Source organism: Homo sapiens, chromosome 8 (genome assembly GCF_000001405.40).
Source record: "Homo sapiens chromosome 8, GRCh38.p14 Primary Assembly".
In the NCBI taxonomy this organism is placed as follows: Eukaryota; Metazoa; Chordata; class Mammalia; order Primates; family Hominidae; genus Homo; species Homo sapiens.
Window position 1 is genome coordinate 42,646,280 of NC_000008.11, and position 16,702 is coordinate 42,662,981.

General features: G+C 46.7%; 2 annotated features.

The window, feature by feature from the left end:
• Positions 12,447-12,741: a silencer, noted in NCBI's record as "tiled region #2659; HepG2 Repressive DNase matched - State 5:Enh, and K562 Repressive non-DNase unmatched - State 23:Low". NCBI's record gives its function as "represses a minimal TATA promoter and a strong SV40 promoter by Sharpr-MPRA in HepG2 and K562 cells {active_cell/tissue: HepG2 | K562}" and the evidence as "EXISTENCE:reporter gene assay evidence [ECO:0000049][PMID:27701403]".
• Positions 15,495-15,995: an enhancer, noted in NCBI's record as "H3K4me1 hESC enhancer chr8:42516917-42517417 (GRCh37/hg19 assembly coordinates)". NCBI's record gives its function as "activates a minimal SCP1, AML or CMV promoter by ChIP-STARR-seq in naive H9 embryonic stem cells {active_cell/tissue: H9 hESC(naive)}" and the evidence as "EXISTENCE:reporter gene assay evidence [ECO:0000049][PMID:30033119]".

Consider the following 16,702-nt stretch of genomic DNA (forward strand, 5'->3'; position numbering starts at 1 on the left):
CGCCATTGCATTCCAGCCTGGGTAACAAACAAACAAATAAAAAAACAAAAAACAGTAACCTTTGAATCGAACATAGCACAGTAGGGGGAGACTGACACCTGCCTCTGTTTGCCATTGCTGTTGTCTCACAGCTGATGCAGGTGTTCTGTGGATGCTACTGTGCTGCTTAGTTACCTGGAACACATTATTTTTCACTGTATTAATAGTTTATCTTTTTTTTACTAAGTATTTATGTACAGATAAGTGTAAAAACATGATTATTAATCAGTAGCATATAAATTCAGAGTCAGACATGATGGTGATGCTGAACAACCACAGACCGGGGGGGTCCACATGGGGGTAGAGATAGGGACCCCTTTGGTTCTGACGGTTCTGTGTACACAATCTTTGTTTCATGCACAAAATTATTTAAAATATTGTATAAAATGGGCCGGGTGCAGTGGCTCACGCCTGTAATCCCAGCACTTTGGGAGGCCGAGGCGGGCGGATCACCTGAGATTAGGAGTTCGAGACCAGCCTGGCCAACATGGTGAAACCCCGTCTCTACTAAAAATACGAAAATTAGCTGGGCGTGGTGGTGGGTGTCTGTAATCCCACCTACTCAGGAGGCTGAGGTAGGAGAATCGCTTGAACCTGGGAGGCAGAGGTTGCAGTGAGCCAAGATCCTGCCACTGCACTCTAGCCTGGGCAACAGAGTGAGAGTCTGTCTCCAAAAAAAAAAAAGAAAAAAAAAGTGTATAAAATTACCTTCAGGCTATGTGTATAATGTGAATATGAAACAAGTAAATTTCGTGTTTAGAGTTGGGTCCCATCCCCAAGATATGTCATTATGTATATGGAAATATTCCAAAATCTGAAAAATTTCATGTATTAGTCTATTCTCATGCTGCTGACAAAGACATACCTGAGACTGGGTAATTTATAAGGAAAAAGAGGTTTAATGGACTCACAGTTCCATGTGGCTGGGGAGGCCTCACAATCATGGCAGAAGGTGAAAGGCACATCTCATATGGCGGCAGGGAAGAGAGAATGAGAGCCAAGTGAAAGGGGTTTCCCTTTATAAAACCATCAGATCTCGTGAGACTTATTCATTACCATGAGAACAGTATGGGGGAAACTGCCCCCCATGATTCAATTATCTCCCACAGGGTCCCTTCCACAACACATGAGAATCATGGGAGCTAAAATTCAAGATGAGATTTGGGTGAGGACATAGCCAAACCATATCTGTCCGTAATCTGAAACACTCTGGTCCTGTGCATTTTGGATAAGGGATGCTCAACCTGTATTGGTGAAAACATGACCTGATTTTTTGTAGAACAGACTGCATGCAGTTAGGAAATCTGTTGTACTTGTGACTCAGCTGGAGGAATTAAGTGCCTACTAGTTTAAATACATTAACTCATGGGTCTTTCTAATATGCTCCCCATTTTATGGATAAAAACTGAGGTCTGGAAGATCAGCCAGATCTCGCATCCACAGCTCTTTGCCCTGGACCGTGGCTCTGTGTTTTCCTGAATTTGATGGGAATGTGAGAGTTAGGCTTGGAGACCACAAAGGTTTCCATCCATCTCCCCACCTTGATTGCTTGTTTCTGGGCCTGGAAATAGTGGAGTGGATGTGTCCACTCTTGGCCCTGCCACTTTGAGTGTCTCTAAAGATCAAACCAGCCTTGGCACAGTGGCTCATGCCTATAATCCCAGCACTTTGGGAGGATCGCTTGAATCCAGGTGTTAGAGACCAGCCTGGGCAACATAGGAAGACCTCATCTCTACAAAACATTTTTAAAATATTAGCCAGGCATGGTCGCGCACACCTGCAGTCCTAGCTACTTGGGAGGATAAAGTGGGAGGATTGCTTGAGCCCAGCAGGTTAAGGCTGCAGTGAGCTATGATCACACCACTGCACTCCAACCTGGGTGACAGAGTGAGACCCTGTCTCTTAAAAAAAAAAAAATCCCAGACTTTATTTTTTGAGATGAAATCTCACTCTGTCCCCCAGGCTGGGGTGTAGTGGCATGATCTCAGCTGACTGCAACATCTGCCTCCCGGTATCAAGCGATTCTCCTGCTTCAGTCTCCCAAGTAGCTAAGATTACAGGCGCCTGCCAACCACACCCAGCTAATTTTTATATTTTTAGTAGAGACTGGGTTTTGCCATTTTGGCTGGGCTAGTCTTGAACTCCCGACCTCAAGTGATCCACCTGCCTCAGCCTCCCAAAGTGCTGGAATTACAGGCATGAGCTACCACGCCCAGCCCCAGACTTCAATTCTCTTCCTTCAGCCTTCACCCACTATGGGCTCATCCAATCTTAGAACTTAGACCTAGAAGTTCACCTGGATCTTATCTTAAACTCTAATCTGTTCTGCTCAGCAGGGCCAGGTAAATACTATTAAGGGTAAGCACTCAGCCCACCACACACACCTGCACAAAACAGGAGACTGGGCCGGGCGCGGTGGCTCACGCCTGTAATCCCAGCACTTTGGGAGGCCGAGGTGGGTGGATCACGAGGTCAGGAGATCGAGACCATCCTGGCTAACATGGTGAAACCTTCGTCTCTACTAAGAATTAAAAAAAAAATTAGCCGGGCGTGGTGGCGGGCACCTGTACTCCCAGCTACTCAGGAGGCTGAGGCAGGAGAATGGCGTGAACCTGGGAGGCGGAGCTTGCAGTGAGCCGAGATCGCGCCACTGCACTCCAGCCTGGGCAACAGAGCGAGACTCTATCTCAAAAAAAAAAAAAAACAAAAAACAAAAAACAGAAGACTGGCGCCCTCCTAACATGTCCCCAAATAAGGAAACTCTTCAGCCTTCAGCACTGTGTGATATAACCTCTATCTACCCAAAGCTTAATTCCTACTGCTCCTTTATAGCCTGTCCTCACATTCCAACCGGGATTCTAGCTAGTCATGCAAAATGCTGCAAACATTCCCAGTGCAGGTGGATATTCACCTGCAGTTTCCTCTCCATAAAATGCCCTCTCCAGTCCCCCTTTCCACTGAATTAACACTATGCTTTCTTCAAAGCCTATTTCAAGCGCCACTTCCTTCATGAAGTCTCCCTGATGCCACAATTCTATACACTTGCTTCAACCCCCCCCCCCCAAATCACCATGTTTCTCATATGGAATTCATCTTATCCTGTCACATAATTCTTTTTGTCTTATTCAAATGCTACTTCTATTGCAAATTCCTGAAAAATGAGTCTGTGCCTCCTTTCTTTTTTATTTTTCCACAGTACATATTGTGGTATTGACACATAATAGATGCTAAAAGATGTTTGTTGATTGCATGGATGACTATTTATTTGCACTACCGGGTGCTCAATAAATATTTGTTGAATCTGGTTTGCCAATGATCCCCAACGTGACTTCTAGTTGTGGCTTCTCCATCAAACCTCCAGTTTTGTATTCCACATGCCTTCAATAACGTATATGGAAAGGGCTTACCTTTACCTGAAATGGAGCAGATAAAAAACGGATCTACCCTCCCCGACCCCAATCCCAGCTTCATTACTTTTGTCCTTTGCCTCAGAAATCCTGCCAGCCTGTGTCTTCATCAGTTACTTCACACGGAGCTTGATGTGCATCAGAAACCCGACGGGGCAGCCAAATTCCCAGCACCTGACGTTCATGGATTAATCAGTATCACAAAATTATAGTTTGTCAGAGCTAAAAGCGACCTCAGTCCAACCCCTTCATTACAGATGAAGAAACCAAGCTCCCAAGGGATTTGCACAGAACTCGCGGCGGAACTATTAATATGGCAACACTCCAGTCTTCTCCCTCTTGGCCCCCACTGCCCTGTCCTCGTTAGACTTGACGTGGCCTTTCCAGGCTCTGTTGTTTTTCCAGGTGTTCCAGGTGGTTACTTTCCAAGTTGCTGCATGCTTCAATGCCTCTGTTTTCCGGGACTCCCACGGAGTGAGATTTGGCAGCACAGGTCTTTAGAATCTGTGGCACAGGGCTTAGAAAAGGCCACTGCCTTTCCCAAAGAAGTCTGCTATAATGTAAATCTCATTAACCCTGCCCCAGGGTCTGATAAGCTTGTTTCTCTAGAAGCTTCCAGCAGTTTGCTGGTAGGAACTTTCCATTACTAAGCAAGTAGCCAACTCATAGTCTCTTCATCTTCTCTAACATCCCCAACCATGCTAAAGATAACCTAGGATACTTTGGGGCTTTGAATCGTTAATCAATTCAAAAGGATAATTTTAGAGCATGATTAGAAATAAGTGAAAGTCCACAGAACATGGTTTGAACCAGACAATATGCACTTGGGCTAAATCATCTAAGCTCACAGACGGCTCGCAGAGTGATACTGATTGGGAATTACTCATGTACATCTGGTCGGCTGAGCTAAACAGGGCCAGAGAGTCCTTCCGGCTGGCTCTCCTCTCTCCCAGGCCAGGGGATGGGAGAGGAATACCATTTTTAGAGCACTTGCTGTACACTTTAGATATCTGACCTCATTGAATGTAATCCTCTCAAAAACCCTGTGTGGTAGTCTCCTTATTTTTATAAATAAGAGAACCTCCACAAGGCCAGGCATGGTGGCTCACACCTGTAATGCCAGCATTTTGCAAGGCCTAGGCAGGAGGATTGCTTGAGGCCAGGAGTTCAAGACCATTTTGGGCAACATAGCGAGACCCCTGTCTCTACAAAAATTTTAAAAATTTAGCTGAGTGTGGTGGCTCACGTCTGTAATCTTAGCACTTTTTGAGGCCAAGGCGGGAGGATCACTTGAGCCCAGGAGCTTAAGGCTGTAGTGAGCTATGATCACACCACTCACTCCAGCCTGGGTGAAAGAGCAAGACTCCATCTCAGAAAAACAAAAACCAAAAAACAGATACGTAAAAAAATGCAGTTGTTCTTCAGGCTGACTAAACTAGAAGCAGAGCCAGGCGTCCAGCCCAGTTCTGTCTCTGGCTCCAAAGACTTCACCTTTTCTACTTCACCAGTGGTTTTCTTTCTTCCTGCCTGCCTTTCTTCCTCCCTTCTATTTCCTTTCTTTCTTCCATCTTTCCTTCCTCCCTTCTTGCTTCCTTTTCTGAGAAGCCAAATGCTTTCTTTGCAACTGAAATGATGCACAAACCTGAACATATAAAACATGTAAGACCAGAGCTGCTTTGCTTTGTTTACAATAGAGAAAAACTGGAAACACCCAAGTGTCCACCAACAGGTGAATAAATATCTGTGGTCTCTCCATACCATGGAGTACAACTTGGCAATAAAAAGGAATGAAGCATCTCAGAGTAATTATGCTGAGTGAAAGAAGCCAGATATGAAAGAATCCACGCTGTAGAATCCACTTACATGAAAGCCTGGAAGAGGCAAAACCAATCTCTAGTGACAGAAAGCAGGTCAGGAGATGTCTGGGGCAGGGGTTGTGAAGTGACTGAGGGGCCTTTCGGGGGTGATGGAAATGGTTCTGTGTGTTGACTGTTGTGATTGTGTATTCATTTGTCAAAACTCATTGAACTGCACACTTAAAGCGAGTACATTGTGTGTATGTGTGTAAATTACTGCTCCATAATGGTGGTTTTTTTCTTCAAAGGGTGGGAGCCTGGAAAGGGCTGCTTTAATTCAGGAAGGGATGCCCCACTCCACCTCCACCCTCTAATGATCTTTTGACCCCCAAAGGGACCCTGGGACTGCTCTATGAAAATTACATCTTCAGGAACACATTTAATCACACCAAACTGTGTCATGCAGCCATAAATATCGCCCAGACAGTTCAGGCTTTTAAAGGACACAGGATCCGTTTTACAGTAAACTGCTTCAACATTTTTGTTTGTTTGTTTGTTTTTGAGATGGACTTTCTCTCTTGTTGCCCAGGCTGGAGTGCAGTGGTGCCATCTTGGCTCACTGCACCTCTGCCTCCCGGGTTCAAGCAATTCTCCTGCCTCAGCTTCCTGAGTAGCTGGGATTACAGGTGCATGCCACCACGCCCAGCTGATTTTTTGTATTTTTAGTAAAGATGGGGCTTCACCAAGTTGGCCAGGCCAGTCTTGAACTCCTGACCTCAGGTGATCCACCTGCCTCGGCCTCCCAAAGTTCTGGGATTACAGGTGTGAGCCACCACACCCAGCCAAGTAAACTGCTTCAATATGCTTACTGAGAGTGCACATTTTCAACTAAAGCCGCCACAAGCCCTATTGTTGGCAAAAGAAGGCTTCTGGTCCAGTTTTAGTCTCTGTGCTGTAAAAAGAATGATAATGCAATTAGGAGCTGATCAACAAAACCAGGAGCTTTATGACTGTGCATGTGATGTGTGTGATGTGTGTGTGTGTGCATGTGTGCGTGTGTCTCCAGTAGGCATACATTTGCTTTGCAACACCTGGATGCAGGAAATGTCATGTTTTATTTTCCTAAATCAAATAACACCCCTCTGTCAGCCGGCACTGCCCAAAGCAGGGAATGCTCAGTGCGTTTCCATTGCCTCGGCTGTGCAGGAGTCCTAGGGTGTTATTAGTCCAGAGGACATGAGGAAGTGACTCTGCCTTGAGTCTACCCTGGCCACAACTAGACGTGCACTGCTCAACCTCCAGCTGTCCCTTCCAAAGTTCTGCTCTGATCCAGGCTGTGGCATGGAGACTGGGAACCAGACCCCCTACTATGCCACCTCCTTAGGCAACCTTGAAATTGTGTCCCCCATGGTGTGCTGTGTGCAATGGGCTTGGTCACTCTCACCTCCAGTGGTTCACAACACCGCCCCTTCTTTATCTCTCCTGGGGGTGAGGAGTCTCACTTCTTCACTTTCCACCCTCTCCATCTCCCTCCCCCAACCAAGCCACTTTTATCTCCTCTGATCCTTGTCCAGGGCAATCCACCTTAATCGCCCAGTGGGCCTGAAACTGCAGCCCTGGCAAGGTGGGGCAAGGGGCCAGGAGCGGAGTGGAAAGGGTGGGAGCCGGGAGAGGACAGCACAGCTCATTCCTGCTCTCCATGGGGACAGGGAAAGATGTTTTTAATCTTCTTGGGTAAATCCATGGCAGGAAAAGAAAGCTGAGCTAAAAATTAGTTTCTTTCAGTAATAGTTCAACTATTACTGAAGTATGAGAGTTTGTATTTACATTTATGTAAGATCCATGAGTTTAAAAATGGTGTTTATCTCATGCACATCTATATCCCCTTCACTCAGCTTGGAACAGTATAGGTGATTGATTCAATATTGGACAAATGAATTGTGGATGAATGAATGAATGAGTGGATGAATACAGGTGGTAAGACACACACCTCATGGAATCAGTCACCCCCCATTGGGAAGTGGAATTCAGTGGGGGTGATCACTTACTGCTATTTATGTGTCTCTGCTGTTTGCATTGCATAGAACTATTTTTAGTAAATACAATGTTTATATAACTTGCATTGAGAACTTTTTGAGGCCAGGCGTGGTGGCTTATGCCTGTAATCCCAACACTTTGGGAGGCTTGAGGCAGGCAGATGGCTTGAGTCTAGGAGTTTGAGACCAGCTTGGGCAACACGGCAAAAACTCATCTCTATAAAAAATACAAAAAATTAGCTGGGTGTGGTGGTGTGCACCTGTAGTCCCATATAAAATTTTATTATAATATTGCTATGAGAGAAGCTGTCTGGCAGTCATAATTCACATGTGTTAGGGTTATATTATTGGATAAGAATTTTTTTAAAAAAAAAGAAATGGGATCTCACTGTGATTGCCCATGCTGGAGTGTAGTGGGTATTCACAGGCAGATCATAACACACTACAACCTTGAATTCCTGTCCTCAAGCTATCAAACTCCTGGCCTCTGCTTCCCGTGTAGCCGGGACTACAGGCGCACACTACTGTGTCCAGGAATAAAATGTTAAGATAATTAGTATGAGGCCAGATACAGAAAGGTCAGCATGTTTGGTTTCCAGAACCTCCGTGTGTGACTGACAGCTAGTAGGTGACTGCTTTCTCAGGACACATCTTTCTAAATCTAGTGAGAAAATTTCTTAAGCATTTTATCAGGAATAAATGATATTCCCAGAAGGAGATTTGAAGTATATCAAGCAAAAAGACTCCGTCCCAGACCGCTTGAGAACAACTTTCCTTACACATTTGTGAAGTTGTTCTCATCCTGCCAGAGTTCACAAAGAGAAGAGAAGAATAGGCAAACTAAAATTCACACAAATCAAACCATACACAGCATAGGGGCCTCCTGGATGCCATGGGTGCTTAAAAAGGCATTTTCTTGAAAGCACTTTATTTCCTCTTAACTCATTGGACTGTTGTTAAGGGCAGATCTTTGGTTTCTCTGCAAGAAACATAAGCACTAGTTAGGAGTCATGCTGGAGAACCAGGAAGAGAGACTCAGCTGGTCACCAAGACACAGTGGAGCAGCGACTCTCACCCCAGAGATTGGTAGAATGACCCAAGAAACTTTATGTGGGACAGCAGGACTGTAACTCAGCCAATGAGACTGGCATCTCTGGACGTGGATCCAAGCATCCCATTTTTTTAAAGTTCTACATCAGTGGTCCTCAGACCTCAGCAAGCATCGGAATTGCCTGGAGGGCTTTGCAAGCACGGATGGCTGGGCACACTCCCAGAGTTTCTGATTCAGCAGGTTCAGGGCGCAGTCAAGAATCTGCATTTCTAATGAGTTCCCAGGTGATGCTGCCCTAGAAGATTCTAACGTGAGCACAAAGTCAAGAACTGGCTCAAGGGGTGGCTCTTCAGCTTCCACACTGGAATCACCTGGGTGCTTGTCAAAACCATAGGCCCTGACTCATAACTAAAATTTAAGATGTGACATTATTTGTTTACACCCTGAGTAGTTTTCACTGAAACTGAACTGAACTTGTCAAAGAACAAAGAAGAAGAAAAGAAAAGCTTATCCCATTGTTGCTCATGCTTGAACATTGCACACAGGGTGTTTACGGAAATGGGAAGGGCCGGTTTGCAGGGAAGGCGTGTTCCTGGGGGCAGAATTAGCAGGAGGTCTGGGGCAGCCAGATGGGTTTATGGATGGCTCAAGGGTAACTAAGTGTCTGTGCATTGCTGAGCGAGGTGAGAGTCTTGGCTGATGTTCCCCACTGTTTGAGAGCATAACACGCAGGGCCAGGACTAGCAGAGGAAAGTAAGATGCCCACTATGGGCTCAAATTGACCTGGGTGCCCCCAGATTCAGGAATTTATAAAATAAATATATTTTCAATTTTTAAAAAGAGACTGGGTCACCCAAGCTGAAGTGCAGTGGTGCAATCTTGGTTCACTGCAGCCTCGACCTTTTGGGCTCAAGGGATCCTTCTGCCTCAGCCTCCTGATCAGTTGGGACTACAGGTGTGTGACACCCTCCTGCAAAAATTTTAATTTTGAAATAATTATAGACTTACAGGAAATTGCAACATTGGTATACCCAACTTCCCCCAATGATGACATCTTATAGTACAAAATCAAAATCAGGAAATTGACATCAGGACATTACTGTTAACTAGACTGTAGATGGCCAGTTTTTAAACCTGTATTCATTTGTAATGTGTGATGTGTGTGTGTGTATGCATATAGTGAATGCAACTGAAGACAAATATTTTAATGCAGTATTTTTTTTTTTTTGAGACAGAATCTCGCTCTGTCACCCAAGCTGGAGTACAGTGGCATGATCTTGGCTCACTGCAACCTCCACCTCCCAGGTTCAAGCAATTATCCTGCTTCAGCCTCCCAAGTAGCTGAGATTACAGGCACCTGCCACCACGCCCAGCTAATTTTTGTATTTTTAGTAGAGATGGGGTTTCACCATGTTGGCCAGGCTGCTCTCAAACTCCTGACCTTGGGCGATCTGCCTGCCTCCCAAAGTGCTAGGATTGCAGGTGTGAGCCACTGCGCCCAGCCAATGCAGTAATTTTAAAAATAAAAATTAATGCAAAAAAATGATAAAAAATACAATTTTAAATAATGACAGGATCCGTAAAAGCTCTGTGCTAACCACATTGGATCCTGAGGCAAAAGGAAATATCAGAAACATTTTGTTCATCATAGATTTGTTTACATAAATGTAGATTTTAAACAATATTGCATTAAAGGATGATTTATCCTGACTGCTGAGCTGTTGGAGCCCCCTAAGCTTTCATACCCGAGATGAGTGCCCCCTCTCCATGCCCTGGCTCTGGCCCTGCAAATGAGGGCGCCCTGACAGTCTGCTCTGTGTGGCGCCTTCCTGGAGGCAGAGAGGGGCCAATGAACCTCTCCTGCTGCTCTTCTCTGCTGCCATCTGCTCTGCTTTTTGGGCTGAGCAGGGTGGCACTGGCACTGTGACTCAGCCCCAATTACATGCTGCAAGAAGGAAGCAGGGCTTCCTCCTCAAGGTAGATGGACCGCAGCAGTGAGCATCTCTGTCCCCTCCCTCTGCCCCCCGGCTTCTCTGGAGTGGAGCTTGGCACCGAGCTGAGCAGTGGCGGAGCGTGCCACCCCATCTTTGCACCAGGAAGTTCAAAAGAGACACCGATTCACCTCCAGGTTCCTTTCCCAAGACTTCATTTTCTTCTGGGATGCCACTGCATCTGTCCTGGTTTGCTTGAGCTGCCATAACAAAGTACCGCAGGCAGGGGCTTAAACAACGGAAACTTCCTCACAGTGCTGAGGGTGGAAGTCCCTGATCAGGTGACAGAGGGGTTGGTTCTCGGAGGATTCTCTCCTCAGCTTGTAGGCTGTCTCCTCCCTGCATCCTCACGGGGCCATCCCTGCGTTTCTGTGTCCCCACCTCATTTTTGTAAGGACACCAGTCATATTGGATTAGGCTTACCCTAATGACCTCCTTTTATCTGAATTACCTTTTTAAAGGCCTTGTCTCCAAATACAGTCACATTCTGAGGTACTGGGGATTATAATTTTAATATATAAATTGGGGCTGGGCGCAGTGGCTCACGCCTGTAATCCTAGCAGTCTGGGAGGCCGACGGATTACCTGAGCTCAGGAGTTCAAGACCAGTCTGGCCAATATGGTGAAACCCCATCTCTACTAAAAATACAAAAAATTAGTCAGGCATGGTGGTGGGCCCCTGTAGTCCCAGCTACTCGGGAGGCTGAGGCAGGAGAATCGCTTGAAACCGGGAGGTGGATTGCAGTGAGCCGAGATTGTGCCACTGCACTACAGCCTGGGTAGCAGAGCAAGACTCCGTCTCAAAAAAAAAAAAAAAAGAATTTTAACATATAAATTGGGAGGGGACACAATTTAGCTCTGTTAAAGGACAAAACAAACTGTAAAATATTTTAAAGAGGTTTATTCTGAGCCAATATGAGTGACCATCACCTGGGGAAAAACGCAAACCCAAGAAACCTTGAGTAAGGGGTTCCAAGGCTATTAGGCCTCAGCTCTGTTTTTGTTTTGTTTTGTTTTGTTTTGAGATGGAGTTTCACTCTTGTTGCCCAGGCTGGAGTGCAATGGTGCGATCTTGGCTCACCACAAACTCTGCCTCCCAGGTTCAAGCAATGCTCCTGCCTCAGCCTCCCGAGTAGCTGGATTACAGACATGCACCACCACGCCTGGCTAATTTTGTATTTTTAGTAGAGATGGGGTTTCTCCATGTTGGTCAGGCTGGTCTCAAACTCCTGACCTCAGGTGATCCTCCCACCTCAGCCTCCCAAAGTGCTGGGATTACAGGCATGAACCACCACGTCCAGCCTCAACTCTGTTTTATGCATTTTAGGGAAGTACAGGTTACAGGCATAGTCATAAATCAATACATGGAGTTCATGCATTGGTTTGGCCCAAAAAGGTAGGACATCTTGAAGCAGGGGCTTACAGGTCATAGGTCCTTTCAGAGATTTTTTTTTTTGAGACAGGGTCTTACTCTGTCACCCAGGCTGGCATGATCTCTGCTCACTGCAACCTCTGCCTCCCAGGTTCAAGTGATTCTCGTGCCTCAGATTCCCAAGTAGCTGGGACTACAGGCTTGCACAACCACCCCTGGCTAATTTTTATATTTTTTGAACAGACAAGGTTTCACCATGTTGGCCAGGCAGATCTCGAACTCCTGACCTCAGGTGATCTGCCTGTTTTGACCTTCCAAAGTGCTGGGATTGCAAGCATGAGCCACCGTGCCTGGCCCAGAGACTCTTTATTGAAATTAGTTAACAAGTAAGGCTTTGTCTAAAAATTTGGAGTCAGCAGAAAGGAATGTTTAAGTTGAGATAAAGAAGCCTGCTAACCCAGCGGTCCCCAACCTTTTTGGCACTAGGGACTGGTTTCATTGAAGACAACTTTTCCAGGGACTGGGTTGGGGGGATGGTTTTGGGATGATTCAAGTGCATTACATTTATTGTGCACTTTATTTCTATTATTATTACATTGTAATATATAATGAAATAATTATACAACTCACCATAATGTAGAATCAATGGGTGCCCTGAGCTTGTTTTCCTGCAAGTAGATGGTCCCATCTGGGGGTGATGGGAAACAGTGACAGCTCATCAGGCATTAGATTCTCATAAGGAGCACACAACCTAGATCCCTGGAATGCACAATTTACAATAGGGTTCACGCTTCTACGAGAATCTAATGCTCCTGCTGATCTGACAGGAGGTGGAGCTCAGACAGTAATATGAGTGATGGGGAGCGGCTGTAAATACAGAGGAAGCTCACCTGCCACTCACCTCCTGCTGTGCAGCTGGTTCCTAACAGGGTTGGGGGCCCCTGTGTTAACAAATACATTGGCTCAGAGTGACCTGTAGGAGTGTGTGACTTAACCCTTGCCTGGCTCGGCCTTAGAGCCTGTTTATAATTTGGCATCTTATTGGCACAAAGAGTCTGTTTTGTCAGTCAGATCTCTATTTCGACATTAATGCCGGTCAGCCATCGTGTCTAACTCCAAAAGGGAGGAGTATCACCAGGCACGTCCGACCTCCCTTCCCGTCATGGCCAAGAACTCAACTTTGGAGATTTCTCTGGGGTCCCCTTAGCCACGAGGGGGTCTGTTCAGTCGGTGGGGGACTTAGGATTTTAGTTTTAGTTTATGGCTCCTAACAGCATCTCAGTCACTTTCTAGCATAGACACCACCGAGGGAAGTGAAATGGAGGGAGTAAAAGACAGAAAATGTGGCCGGGCATGGTGGCTTATGCCTGTAATCCCAGCACTTTGGGAGGCCGAGGCGGGCGGATCACGAGGTCAAGAGATCGAGACCATCCTGGCTAACGCGGTGAAACCTGTCTCTACTAAAAACACAAAAAATTAGCCAGGCATGGTGGCGGATGCCTGTAGTCCCAGCTACTCAGGAGGCTGAGGCAGGAGAATGGCGTGAACCTGGAAGGCGGAGCTTGCAGTGAGCCAAGATCGCGCCACTGCACTCCAGCCTGGGCGACAGAGCGAGACTCCGTCTCAAAAAAAAAAAAAAAAGACAGAAAAGGTGAGACATCAGTAACGCATCTAGCTGACTACAGCTTTCCTTTCTTCTTAGTGGCAAGGGGCTCCAATGCCTGTAGACTGCTGGAGTGGCCGTTTGTCCCCTGGAGGCCTGGCGTGTGTCTCCCTCCTCCTGTCATCTCAGCTGCTTGCCTGACTTTAGCAAAGCCACTGGCCCCCTTCTCCAGGACTTTTCTCATGGAGCTGCTGAGGAAGGTGACCTCTGGGGTGATGGTACTGTGTGCTCAGGCCATCAGGTGGCTTCTCGCTTCTGGGGTGACAGTGCTAGAAGGGTGTGTTCAGGCCATCAGAAGGTGGCCTCTTGCTTCTGGGGTGACAGTGCTAAATGGGTGTGTTCATAGGTGGCCTCTTCTGGGATGACAGTGCTAGAAGAGTGTGCTTGGGCCATCACAAGCTGCCTGCCCCAGCACATGGAAGATGCCCACCTACAACCAAAGTGAACACGCAGAGGGGAGTGAGGCAAGCTGGGATCCAGTTAGCCTGCGATGAAGTCTACCCCTCTTCCCACTTGCATGTGCCAGTGAGCCAAGATAGCTCTATTGCACTCCAGCCTGGGCAACAAGAGCAAAACTCTGTATTAAAAAAAAAAAAGTACAGTCTAAAAAAAATGTACAGTCTGGGCCATGTGTGGTGGCTCACGTGTGTCATCCCAGCACTTTGGGAGGCCAAGAGGGGAGGATTGCTTGAGGCCAGGAGGTCAAGGCTGCAGTGAGCTATGATTTCGCCGCTGCACTTTGGCCTGGATGACAAAGCCAGACTCTGTCTCTAAATGAACAAATAAAAAAATAAAGAGTTAGCAGAGAAGCCAGAGTTCTGCCCAATTTTCCATTCAAGGGCAAGGATGATCACCTTCCACAAACACATTTAAAAGGACAATAGGAGACGAAAACACATTTGTTTTGAGCACACCCCATGTGTCAGCAGTTAACAGAGGTCATGATGGAATGGATATGTTAAGAACTAAATACCAAAAATAAGTACAATGGAAATAGCTCTTAATGAATGTGAGGCATTTACCGAGTGCTCGCTGTGGGCAAACCACTGCCTGGGAATAGAAATAGTGATATCATGTAGCTTCTGACCCCCTGGGGCTGGCAACCTAAAGAAAGGACACAAACTTGATACACTCTGGCCTGAGATGGGCCAGGGTGACAGCTGTCAGTCAAGCTCCAAGCCTCTCACGAAGGAACGTGCTGGCCGCAAGTGTGTGCCCTGGCAAGGAGTGGAACGCAGCCAGGGAATGCGCTAGCTCAGACTTCTTTCGACTGTTTATTTTCTGTCCTGCTATTTTCAAGTATGCTATGTTTGTGTTTACTTTATCACTTGCTATTGTTTCATAAATAGAAGGCCAATTTCTGATTCTTATAAACAGGATTTTTTTGCAAGCTCATGAACAAGATGAAACTAAAAACTTCCGGAGGCTCAGAGTAGCTGTGACAAGGTCATTGTTAGCCAGCCTCAACATTTTTGAGATGCAACTTATTTTTAAATCCAAACAACGTAGATTGTGGGGAGAGGAATCAGGGAAGAATAGATACTTATGGAGGTCCCATCTTCCTACAGGAGTTTGGCTACATCTGTTGACCAATGTTCATCTAGTAGAAGCAAGAAAGAGGTGTGGGCACCCCCTTGTTCTCCAGTCACCTTGCCTGAGCGCCACCCCCATTCTCCCTCCTCCCCCACCTTCTTTTTTTTTTTTTGAGATGGAGCCTTGCTCTGTCGCCCAGGCTGGAGTGCAGTGGTGCAATCTCGGCTCACTGCAACCTCCACCTCCCAGGTTCAAGAGATTCTCCTGCCTCAGTCTCCCGAGTAGCTGGGATTACAGGCACTCGCCACCATGCCTGGCTAATTTGTGTATTTTTAGTAGAGACGGGGTTTCGCCATGTTGGCCATGCTTGTCTCAAACTCCTGACCTCAAGTGATCCATCTGTCTCGGCCTCCCAAAGTGGTGGGATTACACGCGTGAGTCAGCATGCCTGGCCCACCCCCATCTTCTGAAGGGCATCTATCAGGTGCTCACCCCACATGTGAGCAGAGCAAGAGCATGTGGGCAGGACACTCCCTGCATTCTCAGAGTGGAAGGAAGGAGAACCCAGGTGCCATCAGTAGAAGTTTCCATCTGAGAAACACCAGTGACAGTCTGGTCTGGGAGCGTGTGGCTGGGGAGATTAAGTGAAGACACGGAGCTCTGTAAGAAGGAAAGAACATGCCAGCAGGGTGGGGGCTTTGGCCTGAAGTCCACAGCGGGGGAGGGAGGCCCCAGCTCTGTGCAGGGAGCAGCGGCCATGATCAGCTGGCCAGCGTGTGGTGTCTTGGTGAGTAGAGCCACAAAACAAAGCCAACTAGCTGGGCTTCCAGATAGGAAACCACAAGCCATTTGCAGGGAACAGACTTGCCTTTTCTGCACATTAGTTTACTGTGGCTGCCATAACATCACCACGAACTAGATGGCTTAGAACAACAGAAGTGCATCCTCCAGTTCTGGAGACCGCAAGTTCAAAGTCAAGGTGCTAGCCAGGCTCTGCTCTAGGGTGGGAGCCCTCCTTGCCTCTTCCAGCTTCTGGTGGTTTGAAGGGCTCCTTGGTAGTAGCCACATAACTCTAGTCTCTGCCTCTACCTTCAGATGGCCCCTTCTTTCTCTGTCTGTTTCTCTTGTGTCTTTGCGTGATCTTCCCTCTTCTTATAAGAACACAAAGATTGGATTTAGGACTCACTCTAATCCAATAGGACCTCATCTTAATGTTTAGTTATATCTGCAAATACCCTGTTTCAAATAAGGTCACATTTTGAGGCTCTGGGTAGATATGAATTTGGGAGGTTTTTCATCTTGCATTGCTATAAAGGAATATCTGAGGCTGAAAATTTATAAAGGAAAGAGGCTTGTTTGGTTCATGATTCTGTGGGCTTCACAGGAGGCATGGTGCCAGCATCTTCGTCTGGTGAGGCCTCAGGCCGCTTCTACTTACGGCTGAAGAGGAAGGGGCGCTGGCATGTGCTGACCATATGGAAAAAGGGGAGGGAGGGGCCGGGCTCTTTTCAATAACCAGTTCTTGCTAGAACTAAGAGTGAGAACTTAACTCCCACGAGAATGGCACCAAGCCCCCAAGACCAACACACCTCCCACAAGGCCCCCTCCAACACTGGGGATCAGATTTCAACATGAGATTTGGTGGGGCCTAAAAAACCATGTCAAACCATAACGGGGGAAATTATTGAACCCACTACACCCTGATTCCACATTCACTGAGCAACGTTCCCATAGTGTTTTGTAGAGCTGACTGCATTGATCTGACCCCTATCAAGTTATGTGTCTTGACACAAACTTAAAGTCTCATTCTGACTT